At 35.6% G+C, this 23,176-nt stretch overlaps 1 pseudogene, besides 1 other annotated feature; it reads right to left on the bottom strand.

Annotated features, from left to right (window-relative positions):
* Positions 3,327–4,065: an enhancer, noted in NCBI's record as "OCT4-NANOG hESC enhancer chrX:35746382-35747120 (GRCh37/hg19 assembly coordinates)". NCBI's record gives its function as "activates a minimal SCP1, AML or CMV promoter by ChIP-STARR-seq in naive and primed H9 embryonic stem cells {active_cell/tissue: H9 hESC(naive and primed)}" and the evidence as "EXISTENCE:reporter gene assay evidence [ECO:0000049][PMID:30033119]".
* On the bottom strand, positions 20,472–21,380 carry LOC100420325 (MAGE family member B16 pseudogene; annotated as a pseudogene).

Below are 23,176 nucleotides of genomic sequence, written 5' to 3'. Positions count from 1 at the left end.
AGTATGCTGCCTTTAAAAGACCCATCTCACATGAAAGACATACCTAGGCTCGAAATAAAAGGATGGAAGAAAATTTACCAAGCAAATGGAAAACAAAAAAAAGCAAGAGTTGCAATCCTAGTTTCTGACAAAACAGACTTTAAACCAACAAAGATCAAAAAAAGACAAAGAAGGGCATTACATAATTGTAAAGGGTCCAATTCGACAAGAAGAGCTAACTATCCTAAATATATATGCACCCAATACAGGAGCACCCAGATTCACAAGGCCAGTACTTAGAGACCTTCAAAGGGACTTAGACACCCACACAATAATAGTGGGAGACTTTAACAACCCCACTGACAATCTCAGACAGATAATTGAGACAGAAAATTAACAAAGACATTCAGGACTTGAACTCAGCTCTGGATCAAGTGGACCTGGTAGATACACACAGAATACTCCACTCAAAAACTACAGAATATACATTTTTCTCATTGCCACACAGTACTTACTCTAAAATTGTTTACATAATCAGAAGTAAAACACTCCTCAGAAAATGCACAAGAACTGAATTCATACCAAATAATCTCGCAGACCACAGTTCAGTGAAATAAACTCAAGACTAAGAAATTCACTCAGCCGGGCATGATGGCTCATGCTTGTAATCCCAGCACTTTGGGAGGCTGAGGCGGGTGGATCAAGAGGTCAAAAGATCGAGACCATCTTGGCCAACATGGTGAAAACCCGTCTCTACTAAAAACACAAAAATCAGTTGGGCATGGTGGTACACGCCTGTAGTCCCAGCTACTCAGAAGGCTGAGGCAGGAGAATCGCTTGAACCCAGGAGGTGGAGGTTGCAGTGAGCTGAGATCGTGTCACTGCACTCCAGCCTGGCGACAGAATGAGACTTCATCTAAAAAAAAAAAAAGAAATTCACTCAAAATCATACAATTACATGGAAATTGAATAACTTGCTCCTGAATGACTTTTGAGTAAATAATGAAATTAAGGCAGAAATCAAGTTATTTGAAACTAATGACAACAAATATGCAACATACCAGAATCTATGGCATGAATCTAAGGCAGTGTTAAGAGGGAAATATATAGCACTAAATGACAACATCAAAAAGTAAAAAAGATGTCAGGTTAACAACCAAACATCACAACTAAAAGACTAGAGAACCAAGAGCAAAGAAATCCCAAAGCTAGCAGAAGACAAGAAACAACCAAAAGCAGAGCTGAACTGAAAGAGGTTGAGACATGAAAAACCATTCAAAAGGTCAACACATCCAGAAGTTGTTTTTTTTTGAAAAAATTAATAAAATAGATAAACTGCTAGCTAGACTAATAAAGAAGAACAAATAGAAGATTCAATAAACACAATCAGAAAGGACAAGGGAGATATTATCACTGACCCCACAGAAATAAAAACAATCATCAGAGAATATTATGGACACCTCTATGCATAAAAACTAGAAAATCTAGAAGAATGAATAAATTCCTGGACACATTCATGCTCCCAAGACTGAACCAGGAAGAAATTTAATATCTGAAAAGACTAATAAGAAGCTCTGACATTGAGTCAGTAATAAATAGCCTACCAACAAAAAAAAGCCCAGGATCAAATTCGTGGCTGAATTCTACCAGATGTACAAAGAAGAGCTGCTACCATTCCTGTTGAAAGTATTCCAAAAAACTGAGGAGGAGGGACTCCTCCGTAACTCATTCTATGAGGCCAACATTATCCTGATACCAAAACCTGGCAGAGACACAACCAAAAAAAAAAAAAAAGAAAACTTTAGGCCAATATCCTTTATGAACATTGATGCAAAAATCATCAAAAAAAATTGGCAAATGGAATTCAGCAACACGTCAAAAAGCTTATCCACCATGATCAAGTAGGCTTTATTTCTTTAATGCACAGTTGGTTTAACCTACACAAATCAATAAGTATGACTCATCACAAACAGAACTAAAGAAAAAAAACACAAGATTATATTAATAGATGCAGAAAAGGCTTTCAATAAAATTTAACATCCTTTCATGTTAAAAACTCTCAATAAACTAGATATTGAAGGAACATACCTAAGAATAATAGGAGCCATATGTGACAAACCTACTGTTAACATCATACTGAACAGGCAAAAGCTTGAAGAATTCCTCTTGAAAACCAGCACAAGACAAGGATGCCCTCTCTCACCATTCTTATTCGAAATAGTATTGGAAGTCCTTGCCAGGGCAATCAGGCAAGAGAAAAAAATAAAGGGATCCAAAATAAGCAGAGAGGAAGTAAAACTATCACTGTTTGCAGGTGACATGATCTTATATCTAGAAAACCCTATAGTCTCAGCCCAAAAGCTCCCTAAGCTGATAAACAACTTCAGCAAAGTCTCAGGATAGAAAATCAATATGCAAAAATCACTAACATTCCTACACACCAAAAACAGTCAAGCTGAGAGCCACATCAGGAGTGCAATCTCATTCACAACTGTCACATAAAAAAAACAAATACTTAGTAATACAACTAGCCAGGGAGGTGAATGATCTCTACAAGGAGAACTACAAAACACTCCTCAAAGAAATTGGAGATGACACAAACAAATGAAAAAGCATTCCATGCTCATGGATAGGAAGGATCAGTATCATTAAAATGGCCTTACTACCCAAAGCAATTTACAGATTCAAAGCTATTCCCACTAAACTACCACTGACATTCTTCAAAGAATTAGGAAAAAATATTTTAAAATTCATATGTTACCAAAAAAAGAGTTTGAATAGCCAAGGTAATCCTAAGCAAAAAGAATAAAGCTGGAGACGTCACACTATCCAACTTCAAATTATACTGCAGGACTACAGTAAACAAAACAGCATGGTACTGGTACAAAAACAGACACATAGACCAATGGAACAGCATAGAGAGTCCAGAAATGAGGCTGAACAGTTAGAACTATCTGATCTTTGACAAGCCTGAAAACAAGCAATGGGGAAAAGATTCCCTGTTCAATAAATGGTGCTGTGATAACTGGCTAGCCATATGCAGAAAAATTAAACTGGACCACTTCATTACATCATATAAAAAATTAACTCATTATGGTTAAAGACTTACATGTGAAACCCCAAATAATAAAAACCCTAGAAGACAACCTAGGCAATACCATTCTGGACATAGGAATGGACAAAAATTTTATGATGAAGATACCAAAAGTAATTGGAACAAAAGCAAAAATTATCAAGTGGTATATAATTAAATGAAAGAGCTTATGCACAACAAAGGAAACTATCAACAGAGTAAACAGACAACCTACAGAATGGGAGAAAATTATTACAAACTGCATCTGACAAAGGTCTAATATCCAGCATCTACAAGAAACTTAAATTTACAAAAGAAAAACAAAACACCATTAAAATATGGTTAAAGTACATGAATAGACACTTTTCAAAAGTGCAGGAGTCTGTCTTGCATATCCTGATTCAATGACAGATGCATAATGTACACTGACACAGATATTCTGCTTGTCAGACCGGCCAAGTATCCAGGCCACTTACAGACTCTAAGGAGAGTGCTGTCAGCCACGGCCCCAGCTAGCTGGCCTTCTTGGCATTTATTTAGCACACATTAAATGACAAAAGCTTTAAGTCAACACTATTAGAGGGTAATCAACCTGGTTACCTACCCCCGAGAGAGCCATCCTGCCCATGAGTAATCAAAGGTTAGCTTTAGGACCACATGAGTAAACAAGCTCTTTAGATAAACTACTCTACATTCCTTTGTATCTGGGCCCTAAGCACTCTGGTTCCTGCAAAGAGACTGGCTGCTCTCAGCCAAACTATCTGAAGCTATGCAAAAACCTTTTGGCCTTCCAAGAAGGTTCGTGTTTTATTTTATAATTTTCCCCACCATCCTGACTGAACCCCTACACAAAAGAAGACATACATGCAGCCAACAATCATATGAAGAAAGCATCACTGATCATTAGAGAGATGCAAATTGCAGCCCACATGAGATACCATCTTACACCAGTCAGAATGGCTATTCTTAAGAAGTCAAAAAATACAGATGCTGGTGAGGTTGTGGAGAAAAAATGCTTATGCACTGTTGGTGAGAGTCTAAGTTAGTTTAACCATTGTGGAAGACAGTGTGCTGATTCCTCAAGTAGCTAAAAAAAGAAATACCATTCCACCCAGCATTCCCATTACTGGGTATATACCCAAAGGAATAGAAATCATTTTATTATAAAGACACATGTGTGCACATGTTCATTGCAGCACTATTCACAATAACAAAGACATGAAATCAATCTCAATGCCTGTCAGTGGTAGACTAAAGAAATTGTGGTACATATATACCATAGAATACTATACGGCCATAAAAAGAATGAAATTATCTCCTTTGCAGCAACATGGGTGCAGCTGTAGGCCATTATCCTAAGCAAACTAACACAGGAAGAGAAAACCAAATACTGCATGTTCTCACTTATAAGTGGGAGCTAAATGATGAGACCACAGGAGCCAAATGATGAGAACACATGAACACATAGAGGAGAATAACAGACACTGGCACCTATCAGTGGGAGGAGGGTGGGAGGAGGGAGAGAACCAGGAAAAATAATCTATGCTTAATACCTGAGTGACAAAATAATCTGCAGAACAACCCCTCAAGACACAAATTTATCTATGTAATAAACCTGCATATGTACCCCTGAATTTAAAATAAAAGTTAAGTAAATTTTAAAAAAAGGTTTGGATGACTATACTGAGTAAATTCCGTCATTTTTACAGAATCTTAACTGCATTCCTGAGAGATTACTTCACAAACACTTGCAGAAAGTAATACATATTTAAATGGAATAACATATAAACAGGTTGCTTAATAAAAATACAGAGTACGTGGTATGACATTCTCTAGCAAATACCAGAAAGCTGTATTTAGACTCTGGATGTTATTGTGAGAATAAAATGAACACCCTTCCTCTCTTGCCCATTATTACCATATTTCTTGGAAAAAAAAATATTTGATTAAAAAATTTGCCATTTATTTGCTCTGCAAGCAAATGAAAATTTGCCTGCCTTCAAATCTGAATATCATCCATACCCTTATTAATATTTATTTTTACAGCCAGATTCATCTTTACAGTTCTCCCTTATACCCCATTTTCTTCTTCCTCTTTCTTTTATCAAATCAAGTTTTGTCACATTTTCTTTTACCATTGCTTCTTACAGTCCTTTTTCTGTTTCTACTGCTAGTAATCAAACAGTAGATTTGCATATTCCTTTCCAGAATCATAGAAAAAAATGAAAGGCAGCAGAGAATAGATTGCAAGATCCAATTAGCCAGTCTCCCTGATTCCCGTTTTTGTCTTCAAATGAATATACACCCAATATTGGCTACAGAGACTATAAAACAAAGATGAAATCAGATTATATCTATGCTCAATACCTTCAGTAAAACAAAACCTAATTTATTCAATTTGAACTTTACTGCTCTTTTCAATATCACTTTATCTTATCTAAGCAAACAATTTGTTGTCACTTATTCCAAACCATTCTCAGAGTTCTCTGGTCAAGAGTCCGTCAAATTTCATGCTTACCTGTTTTGCCTTGCTCTTTTCGTGGTCTTCTCCCTAACACATCTCTCTTGATCATCTCATTGTTTATCTGACAAATTTCTACTCATTCTCTTTGATCAAACATATTTGTTTATCAGTTATCTCTTGTCTGTACCATTATAAACAAATAAATTCCTCCTTTTGTTATACAAATTGTCATGCTCTGTGTGTGTTATAGAAATTAGTGGACATATTTAAGGACACCATGTACACTAGCATAGATGATGCCTTGCAAGGAGCACCTTGTTGAGGGCAAGGATCGCTCAGTACAAGGTTGCATACACTGAAGCAAAAGATGCATTTTTTTTTTTATTTTTATGAATGAAATATGTGCTCAGTAAACTTTTACCATCCACCTGGAGAGGGCGCCTACTCCAAATTAAAACAGTTTAATTGTAAGTTAGATTAGTCCTATACAAGGTTGCTTCCTTCACTTTAATGTGACTACTCTGAGGGCAGGAATCATATCCTTTCTTTGGTATTTACTGTCCTCAAGCCTAGAATACTTGCTGTATTTTTTTGGTAAATTAAACCCTGGGGAGTAATAAACAAAATAATAAATTAAAATTCTTGAGAATCTAGCTTAAAAATGTCAAACTTTAAAATTTGCTGTATTCCTTTTCCATATTCTAAGGTTTCTTGCAATAGTAATCAGGTCTATAAAATTAGCATGGGTGTAGACCAATAGAAATTACTATTTCTTCATTTAGTATATGGCATTTGAAGTGGTGTTGCTTGGTACTAAAATATTTGTACCTCCAAAGCATACAGAACCTGGCAGACTAAGTGGTAGTACCATTGATAAGAAACTCAGAGAAGATGCCTAATAATAAATAACTACCACATGTGTACAGATTTTTGATTCCCAGATTTTATCCTCACATTTGTTTAAGGAGTATGTGATTGTTGAGCGTGGGATGATAATGATATGATAACAATAAGGAAATGAATTAGGGTGACTAAAGTGGGAGAAGATACACCAATGTAGAGGAGACTCATATTATGTGTAATTTTCTGAACAATTACTATTTTGATTTGAGACTACAGTTTTCATGTAACGTTTCCCCAAATTCCTATGGTCATCATGAGGTTAATAATTCTTCCCAAATGTTCATTGACAGGATGAGATTTTATTTTTTCTATGTTAACCAGAGAAGTCAGTGGTATAGGCATGTAGAGAGGAGAGTAGCTACCAACAAAAACAAAAGAGAAACAGTTGTAATAAGTTGAATCAAAATCAAAGAGCAAATAGATTGTGAATTACCATTGAAATTATGAGGAAAAAAAGAAAACTACTTTCACACAATACTCAGTTCCTTCTGATATAAAAATAACTTTTGTAAGTCATCAAAAATGGCACAGTAAAAACTATTAAAACTTTGTCCCTCCATAAAATAATAGACAGGCTGGCACAAACTCAGAATCAATTTTTTTTTCAAAATTCTGAGATCTAATAAAAAACTCACAGCAATCAGGAAAACTCAATTAAAAAAAAGCTGTTGAATATTGATAAGAGAATATTTTGGTGTTTTAACCTAATCATTTTTTATAACCTACTCCTCAGCTTGGCAGTAGCCATGAATGGAAGAATCCACATACCTGTTAAAAGTTTCTGGTACTAGAGAGAGCAATATACACATTATTCTCAAAGCAAAAGGGTTGTGTGTTTTGACATGTCTGATATACCTCTGAAGGATTAGCTCAAGAGCTTGTGTTTGTTAAACTTGCATAAAGCATTGCCAGGGCTGAAGTGGCTTCTTGAGCAACATTTGTCAAAAGCAAATGTTAAATGCAAAAGTATTAGCTACAGCCACCTGGGGTAAAGGACTAAAACTGATGCCAACATTCGACAGAATGAGAAGCCTGGTAAAAAAAGAAGCTGGGAGAGAAGATACTTGAAGCAATAAGTACTTTTAAAAGTTTTGGTGTATGTTGGGGAACCTAGGAGGCCATATACATTCCCAGGACAAAAATGCATACTCGGAAAATAAGTACGAAGACCATGAGCTTTCACTACTAGCTAATAGCTAAGCTCTGTGCAAGCAGAAATTAAATGTTAAGATAGAGTTATAAACAACCTAGCTAAGCTTTGTAGGGGTGTCCCAACACAGACCCAATTTGCAAAGACTGGAAGATATTTAAATATTTATTTATTTTTGCCTTATGGCATTTTAGGTATTGTTTGCCAGATCTCTAGCTGATTACTAAGCTAATGGAACAAACACATCAATTTCCACACATGCAAAATATATACACTTTATAAAAACAGTTCATAAAAGTCACTTAATGAAAAGTAACTACAACAACCAGCAGAACAAACCCTTAGGAGGTAGAATAATTTGTTTTCTAATATTGCAACTCAGAATCATTTTTTTTCAAAATTCTGAGATCTAATAAAAAACTCACAGTTTTTTACAATATTCCGAATGTTCAATTTTCAAAATAAATCATGAGGCAAGCAAAGAAAAAAGAAAGTATATCCCAATCATAAATACACAAAATAAATGAATGGAAACGTAGAAACAGTCCCTGAGGAAGGCCAAATACCGAACTTCCAAAGAGACTTTAAATCAACTGTCTTGAATATGCTAAAAGAACTAAAAAAATACCATGGACAAATAACTAAAGGAACAAAGGACACACATGTATGAAAGAAAGAAAATATCAATAAAAACATGAAAAATATAAAAATAATCCAACTAGAATCTCTGGGGCTGAATGGTATAATAACAGACAAAAAGTTTAGTAGAAAAGAAAAACGGCATAATAAGACAGAACAAATAATCGACAAATTTGAAAATAGGACAATTCAGATTATCCAGTCTGAGGAGAACAGAGGAAAAAAAAATAAGTTAACAAAGCCCAGGAGACCTGTGGGACACCATCAAACACATTAACATATGCATAATGAAAGTTACGGAAGGAGAGAAGACATAGATGGGGACAAGAATAAAATGTGAAGGTATTAGGTTGGTGCAAAAGTAATTGCGGTTCTTGCCGTTACTTTAAAAACAGATATTCAGATAGCAGGTAAAAGTTTCTTTCTGAGTGTGTCTGTGAGGGTGTTCCAGAAGCGACTGACATTTGAATCAGCAAACTGCTGTGGCTCATGCCTGTAATCCCAGCACTTTGGGAAGCCGAGGCCAGTGGATCACCTGAGGTCAGGAGTTCGAGACCAGCCTGGGAAACATGGTGAAACCCTGTCTCTACTAAAAACACAACAATTAGCTGGGCGTGGTGGCGGGTGCCTGTAATTCCAGCTACTTGGGAGGCTGAGTCAGGAGAATTGTTTGAACCCAGGGCGGTGGAGGTTGCAGTGAGCTGAGATTGCGCCACTGCACTCCAGCCTGGGTGAAGATATACCCTCACTAATGTGGGTGGATATCATCCAATCTGTTGAGAGTTCTGACAGTGGAAAAGTGGAGGATTAACTCTCTTTTCCTAGGCTAAGATATCCATCTTATTTTGCCCTCAAACATCAGAGTTCCTGGTTCATGGGCCTTTGGACTCCATGACTTACACCAGCAGTGTCCCTAGTTATCAAGCCTTCAGATTCAGTCTAAATTACACCGACAGCTTTCCTGGTTCTCCAGCTTGCAGATGATATATCATGGGAATTCTTGTGTCCATAATTGTGTGAGCCAATTCCCATAACAAATTCCCTCTTTATCTATCTGTTTATCTATCTATCTATCTATCTATCCATCCATCCATCTCTTATTGGTTCTGTTTCTCTGGAAAACCCTGACTAATACGTGCACTATCAAGAGAACAGAAAAGCCACAGTATTAGAGAAAATATTTGTAAATTATATATTTGTTAAAAAATTAATAACCAGAATATATAAAATACTGTAATAACAACAGAAAACAAAACAAAAAAATAACGGGCATAAGATTTTAATAGGCTTTTCTCCAAAGAAAATATACAAATGACCAACACACAAATGAATTGATGCTCAGCATAATTTATCATTAGGAAAATGCAAAACAAAACCACAATGAGATACTGCTTTACACCCAATGAGATGGCTACAATCAAAATAAAAATTATAACAAGTGTTAGCAAGAATGTAGAAAAATTGTAGCCCTTATACATTGTGTGTAGAAATGTAAAATGGTGTATCTGTTGTGGAACATAGTTTGCAGATTACTCAAAAAGTTAAACACAGAATTACCATAGGACCTAGCAGTTCCACTGCGAGGTATATTCTCAAAAGAATAGAAAACAGATATTCAAAGAAAAACTTCTACACGAATTTTTATAGCAACACTATTCACAATAGCCAAAAGGTAAAAATAACCCATGTGTTCTCCTGTCAGGTTCTAATCAGCCTAGTTGTGCTAACTCCATTGGAGGAGCCGGAAGGAAGTGGTTGCTGCTCTTCTCTTAGCAGGACTTTCAGCCATTGCTGCAGACATAAAAGGGAAGAGTTTCTGCAGGTGTTGGCCACGGTAAGTTTCTTTGCATTTTTTATGATCCGCCAGAGAAATGTCCATAGCTAGCTCAGCTGCCTTTTGGCTCCATCGTCTTCTCAGGTTTCAGGAGTGCCTGGCCACAGCAAGTGTTATCTTATTACCTCAGTCCACCATTCATATACTTATTCTCTGAGGTCAGTATTTTTACTGTGATCTGAGTCATTTGTCATAAGTGACTCCATTTTGAGACATTTAGGATCACAAAAAAGTATTATACATCATATGTCCATCAACTGATGAATGGATAACAAAAATGTGAAATATCCACAAAATTGAATGTTATTCAGCCATTAAAAGGAATAAAATATTGATACACGCTATAACATGAATGAACATAAAAAAGAAGGCCAGAGTGAAATTCAGTATATTTAACAACTGGCATGGTATACCCTTAGACCGAATTGTTTCATGACATAAATCACCAGAAGACCTTACAGAGTCTTCTGCCTGGGATTGAACACCTTTTCTCCTGTTGGCCTTTCATTTGATTTGGCAAGGCTGAAACTCCCTTTTGTATGTAGATCTCAAGGGTGGAATTAGACTAATTTGCATAAATTGCTGAGGGATGCTGACTCTCACCTGGGCTTCCTTTAAACAGAAATGCCTGGACTATCATCTCAATTGTTTCTAACCAAACCATTTGTACACCAAAAAGGGCAACAAAAGCCTGAGAGGTAAGTGTAACAAGGAGTAGGAGTCGTTGTTGCCAAAAAAAAAGGCCCAAAGGTTTGATGAGATAGGATTGGCTATGCCATTGCAAGTGGCTGCAACTGGAATCTTACCTTAACCTAGCCCCGAGGTCAAGCATACCCTCCTTTTCCCTTTATATTAATACTTGATGCCCATACTTGCTGCTCCTTTTCCTCCAGGCACAAAAGCTGAGCAATGTCTGTTGATTTCCTACTTAGGAAATAAGGACTAAACAGAGTAGATGTTCACACGCTTGTCACCACAGCAAAGACAGTGGCCAGGGCTGTGTTAATTCAGTGCTGTGTGTTTTGCGGTCCTTGTGTGCTATGTTTGGGGGTCCAGTAACCGTTTCTCCCAGAAAGTGGATTTCCTCCAGGACTGAGTCATGATTCTGCTCAAGGTTCTAACATTTAATCTCCCATTCACAGGAGAGCAGACATTGCTTTAGATTTCTGGCATTTAATATTGGGGGAGGTTTTGTAGGGTTTCCTCTAACTTAGAATTTCCAAGAATCTTACTGGAAAATTCTGTAGAATCTTACTATTTTTGAAGGTAATTTATATAAATCATTTCATTTTATTTGAAAGTTCAAATACGTCACCTAAAATAAAACAAACGACCTTTTTTTGATAGCAGTGTTAGTAGAAATGTTTCTGTTGTACAAAGGTAAAGATATCAAATAGAGGCCAAATTACTTTATAGGTTTAAGCATGTGGTTCTTAATGGCAAAATTGTTATTGCACATTTATTAGAACAGGAGCAAAGTAGGCTGGGTTCTAGATTGGTCAAATATACATTTAAGTGTATAATTGCTTTTTAATATACGTACTAATATAATTGAATTAATAAATTAATAGATACATTTTCTACATAAGTATTTATAATTCATTGTAATCTATTAGATTGCAAATAGTTTATCTAATTTGACAGCAATAGGAGTTCATGATTGCTCTTTTTTCATAATATTTTCTCAGGCAATACAAAGTATGTGCAATCAAAAGTTATGATTTAATAAATTCAGATGCCAAATTAAGTGCAATTATATCTTAACTGATATAAGAATTACAGAATAGAATGTTAATATTCCAATAGTCTACTTTAAAGAATGAAATTGACTTCATTACAATGCTACTATAAATTAACATTAGCAGTTTTCTAAGGCAATGTTATGAATTATATAACAAGGGGACTCAGAAGCATTTGATCAAACCACTAATCACATTCTAGTTTTTATTTCTCACAAAATTTTATGTTGGAAAATTCAGTTAAAAGAAATATTCTTTTAACTGAAAAGAGAAACAAGATTTAGAGTTTTATGCAACCACTTCATATGTAATTTTATAAAAAATTAATTTTATGAAAATTAATTTTAAATATAATTAAACTTTATTTTACATATTTAATAGTCCATATTATTTTTCATGTGCAAACAATCCATATATACTAGGAAATTCTGGGAAATACCTTGACTGAAAATGTGTGAGACTCTCAGCAGATGTCCCATCGAAGACTTGCCTAGACTACTGACTCATGGGAACTATGATATAATAAATGAGTATTGTTTTGAGCTGCTAAATTTATGTTAATATGTTACACAATTATAAATAGCTAACATAGATAATACCAGTGAAAGATTAGGTATGCCTCCACTCTGCTCTCAGAGAAATTTCTAGGAAGTCATTCAGAATTTATTCACAACTCCTGTAACTCTTGGCTTATCTGCCTTTCTCATTAGTATCTATGCAACTTGAGGATGGAGATTGTTATCTATAATTTTAGAGCCTCTCACAGTACCTGACACATAGTTGTCATTCAACAATTGTTTGTTGTTAGATGTTAACTTCTATATCACTTCTCAGCCTTTTGGCTAAGATCAAGTGTAGATGTTAACCTCTACAGTGGTTAGGAATCATGAGGACATCAAGACAGTGAAGCGATAAGAAGGTGCTAGAAAGAATCGTTTACAAAGAGAACAAGATTTGGTTCCTAAAACAATGGTTAAGTCACAATTTTCTACCTTTGAATGTTGGGTGTGTCAGGTTGAAGAAACGAAATCAAATACAAGGCATTAATATGCTAGATGTGACTGCAAAGCGATGAGAATAATCATAATCACAATTGAAAATTAGCTTGCTTTACAGTTGTCCTATGCATAAACATAGAATATCTCTCACTTTATTTACTTCTTGTTTGATTTCTTTCACAAGATTTTTGCAGTTTCCCTCATATACATCTTTTGCATATTTCATTAGATTTACATCTATTTCATTTTTGTGGTGCTAATGTCACTGGTAAAGTATTTTTAATTTAAAATTTCACTTGTTCACTTCTGGTTCATTTTTTCAAAGCAAAAAAAATTATGTTTTTTTGACTTACAATGTATGAATGCACATAGATGCATGCAGAAAGAATATTAAAAACAAAATTAATAAATATTTATGAAGAAATACAAAGGTCCATATAAAAATACTGTGAACCGTTATGCACCAACAATTTGGATAACTTAGAAGAAATGGATAAACTCCTAGAAACAACCAAGACTGAATTATGAAAAAGATATAAAATCTGGAAAGACCGAAAACTGGTAAAAAGATTAAATCAGTAATAAAATTTTTTCATTAAAGAGAAGCTTAGGACCTAATGGCTTCATTGCTGAATTTCATGCAACATTTAGAGAGGAAATAAAACTTTTCTTTCTCAAATTCTTCCAAAAAATTGTAGAATAGGAAACACTTTCAAACTTATTTTATAAAACCAACATTACCCTTATAACAAAGACGAAGACAATACAATACAAAAAACTACAGGCCAATATCCCTAGTGAACATACATGTAAAAATTTTCAACAAAGTACTAGCCAACTAAATTCAACAGCACATTAAAAAATGATTCTCCATGATTACATGGGATTAATCCATAGAATGAATAAATGGATCAACATATATAAATCGATAAGTTATACATGATATTATCAGAATGAAGGACAAAACCACATGATCATCTGAATAGATAGGGCAAAGCATGCGACAAAATTCAACACCCTTTTGTGATTTAAACTCTCAACAAAATAGGTATAGAAGAAAAGCAAACTCAACACCACAAAGGTTATAAGTAACAAACTCACAGTTAACATAATCAGTGATGAAAAGTTGAAGACTTTTCCTCTAAGATCAGGAACAAGAAAAGAATACCAACTCTCACTACTTCTATTCAACGCAGTACTGGAAGTCTGAGCCAGAACAACATGTCATGAAAAATAAGTAAAAGTCATCCAAATAAGGAAGGAAGAAGTGAAATTGTTTCTGTGTGCTGATTACATGATCTTATACATAGAAAACTAAAAATTCCACCAAATAAAACTACTAAAACTAATAAATTCATTAAAGTTTCAGGATACAAAATCAACATGCAAAAATCAGTAGCATTTCTATACACTAACAATGTACTATTCTAAAATAAATTAAGAAAATGATTCAATTTATAACAGCATCAAACAAAAGTAAATATTTAAGGTTAAATTTAACCAGGGAGGTAGAAGATCTGAATATTGAAAACTCTAAAACTTTGATGAAAGAAATTGAAGATGGTACAATAAATGGAAAAATAGATGAATGAGATTGTCTTAATCAAAAAGCTCCTCACAGCCAAGGAAAGAGTTAACCATGAAAAGAGACAACACAAGGATGGAGAGAAAATGTTTGTGAAGCATACATTTGATACAGAGCTAATCCAAAATATATGAGGAATTCAAACAACTCAATAGCCAAAAAGCATATAATAAAATATGGGTAAAATACCTGAACAGACAACAAAAATGGCCAAGAAATATATGAAAAAATACACAACACAACACTACTAATCATCAGGGAAATGCAAATCAAAACCATAATGAGATGTCACCTCACACCTGCTGGAATGTCTGTTGTCAAAAAGACAAAACGTAGCAAGTGTTGGTGAGGATGTGGAGAAAAGGAAAGGGAAGTCTGCTACACTCTTATTGGAAATGCAAATTAGGTACAGCCATTTTGGAAAACAGTGTGGAAATTCCTCAAAAAAGTAAAAATAGAATTATATCATCCAGCAATCCCACTTCTGAGTATATATACAAAAGAATTGAAATCGTATGTTGAAAAGATATCTGCACTTTCACATTCATTTCAGCATTATTCACAATAGCCAAGATGTGAAGCAACCTAAGTGTCCATCAGTGTATGAATGGATAAAGAAAACGCAGTATATACACACAATTAAATACTGTAGAGCCTTAAAAACGAAGTAAATTCTGGCATTTTGAACAACCTGAATGAAACTGGAGGATATTATGCTAAGTGAAATAAGCTAAACACAGAAAGACAAATATTGCATAATCTCATTTGTATGTGCTATATAAAAAAGTCAAACTCATACAAGCAGAGAGCAGAATGGTGGTTACCAGAGGATAGGTTGGGGGGATAGGCAAAAGAGAAATATTGGTCAAAGGATACAAAGTTTCAGTTAGATAGGAGAAATAACTTTTAGTGATCTATAGAAAAGCCTAGATGGCATAGTTAATAGTAATTTATTTTATGTATATTTCAAAATTGCTGAAAGTAGATTTTAAATGTTCTCACCACAAAAAATAAGTAGGTGAGGTGAGGTGTTATCTTAATTATATAGTGTATAATTAATTATACAGTATATAATAATTATAGTGTGTAATTACATAGTGTATAACACTTAATTATATAGTGCATACATATATCAAAATATCATTTTGTACCTCATGTAAAATTATTATCAATTAAAAGTTTTAAAATAAAAAATAAATTACAATATTGAATTCAGAAAAACAAAGAATAGGATGGTTACCAGAGGTAAAGTCCAATCTTCCTAAGCCACCAGAAATCTATTTCATACATGAGAGGATTAACTCTTTATGGGGAATCTAGCGATTTGAATGTGTTCAGCTTTTCTTTAGACATTTACACAACTAGATGGAGTGTCTTTTTTGTTTTTCAAATGAGGACACAGAACGGAAAGAAAAATTGAAAATGCTTCTGACCAGAACCACCTAATTCCCACTAATGGTTTTAATATACACTGGATCTGATAAAAGTGTTGCTGTGTATTTGTCAATTTGCAGAAGAAATAAATATCTGAGTCTGGTGTTGATAATATTTCAATAAAATTACGTCAGTGTTTGCAAGTGTTTTCTTTGATAGAGAAATATCTTGTTAGGGTACATCGAATGCCTTTTTCAAACCATTTGCTCCTTGTTAACTCTTAGCAAATATTTTATAGTATAATATTTTTAATTGGTTATATTTTATCTGATACTATATCTTCTACTAGTTTGCATAAAATTTTCAACCAGATTTATCTACATCTCTATGCCTTTTTTCCCTCGGCACATTAGGGGCTGATATACTTTAATTTTGTGTACCAGGTACTTTACCACTTGATCAGATTCATATTAATTTTTTTCTTCAGACTTTTTAATGCTTTCTTATTTATATTTTTATTGGGGTAAAATAATTTTATACTTATCTTAAATACTTTTTCATACTGGTCTTTAAATGTATGTTCCGGTGATGTTTAATTTGTAACTGTAATCTCCTTGAGAAAATAACTGTGCAGCCTGCATATGGGTTAGAGTAATACTTGATAAGGATTCAGTTATAAATTGGAAAAACTAAGTTCTTGTCTCAAAGGGTAAAGGGCTCAGATTAGGAAAGGGAAAATATCTTTCTTCTCATTTTCTGACAACAAGTATTGAGATGTTTTCTTTTGTATTCGATTTCATTTCTTTCCATTTTTGGCAGAAGAAGAGATATAAGACTTAGAAAATTTCCTCAACAGTACTTACTAAGATAATTCCATAACTGCAAAGACATCCAAGGACTTTGGATGCTACTAGAGTTTGAACTGTAATCACATTGCAGTAACTTCTGACTTCAAAATAAAGTTTTAGAAGCATAAAAAATGGTCTTCTTAAACACGTAACAGCAGGAGTCTGAATTAGATTAAGCAGTGGTTATTACAGTTAACTATAATTACTAGTTTTCTAATGCACATATGTTTATATTTCTCTATATAATTTGTCATTTTTTAAAGTACTTAATATTAAGACTAGCTATTTTAAACATAAAATTTAATTATGACATAAAAATCAAATGTAAACATTTTAAACTGGAATCAAGATTCCCTTATTTATTTAGCCTTTTACTGGAAATAATGTTCAGACTTAAGAATTTGGACAAAATTATAAAGACTTATTTTATTTTATTTATTTATTTTTTGAGACAGAGTCTCTCTCTGTCACTAGGCTGGAGTGCAGTGGCACGATCTCGGCTCACTGCAACCTCCACCTCTCAGGTTCAAGGGATTCTCCTGCCTCAGCCTCCAGAGTAGCTGGGACTACAGGCACGCGCCACCACACCCAGATAATTTTTGTATTTTTAGTAGAGACGACATTTCAACATATTGGCCAGGCTGGTCTTGATCTCTTGACCTCGTGATCTGCCTGTCTCGGCCTCCCAAAATGTTGGGATTACAGGTGTGAGCCACCGCGCCTGGCTGACAATTTTATTTTTTAATGCGATGAGATCTCACTATGTTGTTCAGGATAGACTTGAACTCCCAGCTCAAGTGATCCTTCTACCTCAGCCTCCCAAGTAGCTGGGACTCTAGACTCACACCACTACTCCTGGTAAGACAACATTATTCACAAACATAAGCTAAGGTTCTCTGAAGAAAAAATAAATAAATACAATATAAAATATCAATTACAGCAACTTTTGTTATTAAATTCCACCTAAGAAAATCATGAATTTGCATTGCTGAGACTCTTTGGCACAGTTTGCTCCTATGAACCAGCTGTGAAATGACAGTGCCTAAGTCACAAAATGTCATTCTCACAAAGCCTTGCAAACTTCCTAAATATATTAAAACCTCAAGACTAGCTATTATAATTGAAAACATATTTATGTAGGTATATGTCACCAGTAGACACATGAAATGTTAGAGTCAGCAAAAACATTGTGATCGTATTTTTAAATTTTTTTTAAGAAACTGAATTTAAAATTTAGTGGAACAGTTTGACGACAGATGAGCACAAAATCTTTGTGTCATAGATATAATGAGACAAAGTGGCTTTCCTAAGGTCTCAGGGCAAGTTATGGACTATCAACCAACAACTGTTCATGTTGAGTCCAGAATGATTTCTAAAACCTCCTGAATGTGGAAATTAGGAACTTAAATAATGTTGTAGACAAATGTCTGAAATTTAAAATTACCTGTTCTCTTAATGAACACCAGAAAACCTACTAAGACAGTCTTTTTTTTTTTTTTTTTTTCTTTTTTGAGATGGGTCTCGCTTTGTTGCCTAGGCTGGAGTGCAGTGGTGCCATCATGGCTCACTGCAGCCTTGACCTACCAGGCTCAAGCAATTTACCCACCTCACTCCTGCCAGTAGCTAGGTCTACAGGCATGCGCCACCAGGCTAAGCTAATTTTTAAAATTTTCTGTAGAGACAAGTAGTTCATTTCATTTTTTCAGGCATGCTAGACACATGTCTCACCTACAGCATATACTGTTTACAGTGTGCTTGCTGGATAGATGAATGAATGAATGAATGAATGAATGCATGAATAAATGAAACAATGAATCAAAGTACCAGAAGGTAACATTCTCTGGTTCAGAATGTAGAGCCTTACCTCTAGTCAGGCTTTTTGCCTCCATTGAAGAAACTCAAAATGCTCCAGTTGCTCACCCAGCTTGCTAATTCCCATCTGAAATTATCACTGTGAGTATTTATAATGGACATCTGATCCCCAGGCTCTAAAATCTTGGAGGCAGGGGTACACACACCAGGATGATGTATGCTTTCTACATTGGACATTGGACTTCATATTTCCCGGTTACTCCAGCCAGTTTAAAAAGAATGTGTGCCATCTCTGTGTGTTTTCTATCCAATCTACATATGGCTGCACCTTGGGCCAACTTCATGCTCCAAGCAGTAAGTAGTGGCAATGTAGGCCAGCAATTAAAGCCCTGGTACACCTACTCTCTGGTGTGCCAAAGACTCAAAAACCATGGGAAGCAGTCTGAGCAGAAGACATCATCTGGATTGATTTAGAAGACATACTGACACCCATCCTTTTATCTGTAGAGTTACTGAGGTAATCAGTAACAGCATATCCCCCTTTTAATTACCAAGTGAATAAAGCAATACATACTTGAAGCTCCATACTAACTTTCACCACTCTGGGACTCCTAGCCTGTCTTAACTGTTTGTCACACACTCAGCAATATCAAATATTCACATGGCCCCAATCTCAATGGAGGAGAGCCAACTTCCATGAAAAAAGAAAAACTCATTTCCAGCAGGTTTCCAGACAGCTCCCAGCCCTAGAACATCCGTGAGGGTGTGCTGGACTCCCAGGGTCGTCAAAACATATAGCTCTCTCAGAATCCATTTTTCACATCACTGGGTGACACAAGAGAGCTAGCTGTACTCTGCCTGACTGTAGGTAGGAGGATTCTAAGGTAGGGTGGGTGTCTTGCATGCCTCTGTTCATTTCATGCGGTCGACTTGCCCACTGAGATGACCTTACCACTTAGCTGGCAATGGCGATTCAGAGATTTTCTAAAACTATTCATGCAATTTGTCCAGGACCTTCCTCCACGTTCCCTACTTTCTTCATTTCTGGTTCTTTTTCCACATGATACTGAACTCTAGATTCAGAATCCCAACAGCCATTCTGCACTGGGGTCTCTGGACTTGGTTTTGCATATGGTTCCTCTCATGGACTCTGGACAATACTCTTCCCCTGGATCCTCACTAGCTGAGGTGTTTTTTGGTCTGGCCCTATTCCTTGGCACCTGGTCATTCTGGAGAAATTCTTGCTTTTCAAATGAAGGGAAAGTGCTTTGTTGATATAACGGAATTATAAAGCCTGCTAAAAATATCCTGTTACTCAGGACATGACTGTATAAATCTAGCTTATATGAGTGAGATTATAATATAATTTTCTGTTTAACCTAATTAAACAAAAGGGGAATACAAAATAACAGTGATGTAGTTTTTTCTCACTCTTAAGTTCAACTACAATTGAAAGAATTGATGAAGTAAAATATAAATGTATATGTTATTAACATACATTTTGTGAGAATAACAATTTAAAGAAAATTTTGAAAATAAATATGAGAATATTTAGAAAAATGTAAAATTGTTGTATCCTACTCATCTTAACAAAATTTACATTTTGCTGTATCTGTCTTTTTAGAAAGCCTTATAATTCATTTACAAAATGTTGATTTTAGTTTTATAAACATATTCACAAATGGAAAACAATTTAGGTGCTGGTTAGCAGAAGACCTGTTAGATTAATTTTGGTGATACAATAAATATATGGCCAATATCATTCATAAACTTAGATTCTGTGACTAACTAAAGGCTATAGTAAAAGGAACAACATTTGAATAATCTCCGCCCAAATGATAAATCTTCATGTTACCCATGTAGAACAGAAAAACAAAGATGTTATACACTATTTTCTTTTCTCCAGCTCCACTCATCTCTTCACTATGTAGACCTCTAACTGCCTCCTTCAAAACCAAAGTGAAGAATCTACCTCAGTATTCGCTAGAGCTGGGAGAAGCTGCTGAACATGGCACTGGAACTCGCATAAGCCATGAAAGTGGAGCCAGACTTGCCTGCAGTGTTGACTCAGGTTCTCTCTTTCCCATCTTTCAAATCCTCCTTGTACTCGGATGGGAAGTAACAAGAGTAAGACTCATTAATCTTGGCCAGAACTCTAGCATGAAAAGTCTAGTTTCATCTTGCTGGTTTCAGCCTGGATTCTTGGGCCCCCACAGGAACTCATATCATGTAGGATCACTATTGGACACCTGCCAGTACTGCAGCTGCTTTTACTTCACCAAATCTTTGATGATAAAATTCCTTGACTCCCCAAAGATGAAGAACTTCCTCCAAAAATATGTGTCTATCATATTCAACACTTCCCAGATCTCTTCCTCAAAGGCACAGTTGTCCTTCATCATGATCCCACACAAGATAAGAATTGGGAGCCTAGTCTTGGGCATGCCTTTCTTATTACTCAGCATCCCACCATAGCTGAGGTCCAGTTTGTTGACAAGAGCATAGCAGTGGTTGATGAAGTCCACTTTCTTTATTTCAGTGTCAAAGGGTAGCTCCATATGCTCAGAGGCTCTCCTGAGCATTCCAGAGAAGTGGTTTTTGTATTTCCTGATGACATTCTTCAGCCTTTCTGCCATTCTTATGGCCTTGTTCATTTTCATACTTGAGCAGCAGGACTTTGACAATTCCACTTTTTCATCTAGAGGAAGTATGGGCAAGTTCTCAGTATCTGGTGGGGACTGCAAGGTGCTTGGATTTATTTCCCCTCTTCTTGGCTGCTGGAGACATTATCTGATTTGCTCAATGAGGTGAAGGAAGAGGAGTTGGCAATCTGAGGATCCTAGAGTATACTGGGCATCTTAGGGGTAGAAGCCTCTTCCAGGGTATCAAAGAACAGGAGGATGAAGAGGAAGCCTCATTTGCAGCCTCTGAGACCTGTGCACTCTCCAGGCCCTGGGTCTCTCTGGGAGCCTCAAAGTGTTGTTCATGTGGGAAGGATGGGTGCTTTTTGTCACAGGGCATGATAATATGTGTGGGTGGAACAGACAGGAAGCCAGGCCAGCTAAAAGCTTTCCAAGGTTCACAGCACAGTAGGAAGGGTCAGACCCTGTGTTACTACTTCTGTTGTAGGTTAGACTGTCTCCTCCTTTCTCATTAAGTTTCCTTACCTTAGCTGCTGGTAAGGACTTAGCGCTCTTGCTTCTGCTTACCTCTCTTGCTTCTGCTTACGTCTCTACTGAAATACAAAAACTTAGCTGGATGTGGTGGTGCACACCTGTAGTCCCAGGTACTTGGGAGGCTGAGGCAGGGGAATCGCTTGAACCTGGGAGGCAGAGGTTGCAGTGAGTCAAGATTGCGCCACTGCACTCCAGCCTGGCAACAGAGCAAGACTCTGTTTCAAAAAAAAAAAAAAAAAAAAAAAAACACATACGCACAGCTAACATACTCAGTGGTGAAATAATGAAAAAAAGAGGAAGGAACATGACAAGGATTCCTGTTTTTACCACTTCTATTCAACATAGTATATGACAAGAATGTCCACTGTAACCACTGCTATTTAATATTATACAGGAATTTCTAGCCAGCATGATAATTCCATAAAAAAGAAAATAAAAAACATAAAGATCATAAAGAAATTAAACTGATTCTATTCATAGATGTTATGATTGTCTCCATGTGCAATCCAATATAATCTGCAAAATCTTCTAGTACCAATAAGTGAGTTAAGTAAGGTCACAGAACACAAAATCAATGCACAAAAATTATTTTTTCCATACTAGCAATGAACACATGGAAACAACAATTACAAATGAAATACAGTTTGAGAATTCCTAATCCCAAAATCCAAAATATCTCCAGGCTCCTTGGTGCACTCTTGTAATCCTAACTACTCGGGAGACTGAGATGGGAGGATTGCTTGAACCTAGGAGTTCGAGACCAGCCTAGGCAACATAGTTATTTCTCATCTCAAAAAACAACAACAAAAAAAGTCTGAAATGATCCAAAATTTGAAACTTTTTGAGGGCTAGCATAACACCACAAGTGGAAAGTTCTACACCTGTCCTCGTGTGATAGGTTACAGTCAAAATGCAATCAAAACTTTGTTTTGTGCACAAAATTATTTTTAAAATGTATAAAATTACCTTCAGGCTATGCATATAAGGTATATAGGAAATATAAATGAATTTTGTGTTTAGACTTGGGTCCCATCCACAGGATATCTCATTATGTATATGTAAATATTCCAAAGTCTGAAAAAATTTGAAATCCAGCACACTTTTGGTCCCAATAATTTTCGATAAGTAATACTCAGCCTGTACCAATTACAATCATTTTTTTTAAAGGAAAACTCTGAAACACTTAGGTGTATATCTAACAAAGCATAGGTAGGACTTGTATTTTGAAAGTATAAAACACTGATGACAGAAGTCAAGGAAGATACAAATAAATAGAGATACAAGGCCGAGCATGGTGGCTTATGCCTGTAATCCCAGTTATTTGGGAGGCTGAAGCAGGAGAATCGCTTGAACCCAGGAGGTGGATGTTGCGGTGAGCCAAGATCGCGCCATTGCACTCCAGCACACATTATATACAATAATAAAGTGAAAATAGGGCATACACATAATTGTGGATTATAAAACTGTAAACTTTTATAAAAATATAGGAAAAAATCTTGGTAGCCTAGGATTTGATTAAAAGTTCTTATTACATAATAGCATGATCCATAAAAATATCATCAGAGTTCATAAAATTAAACATTTTGCTCTGCAAAAGTCCCC

Source organism: Homo sapiens, chromosome X (assembly GCF_000001405.40).
Source record: "Homo sapiens chromosome X, GRCh38.p14 Primary Assembly".
Taxonomy (NCBI): Eukaryota; Metazoa; Chordata; class Mammalia; order Primates; family Hominidae; genus Homo; species Homo sapiens.
The sequence above is the reverse complement of the archived record's forward strand: the minus strand, read 5'-3'. Positions and strand labels throughout refer to the sequence as shown.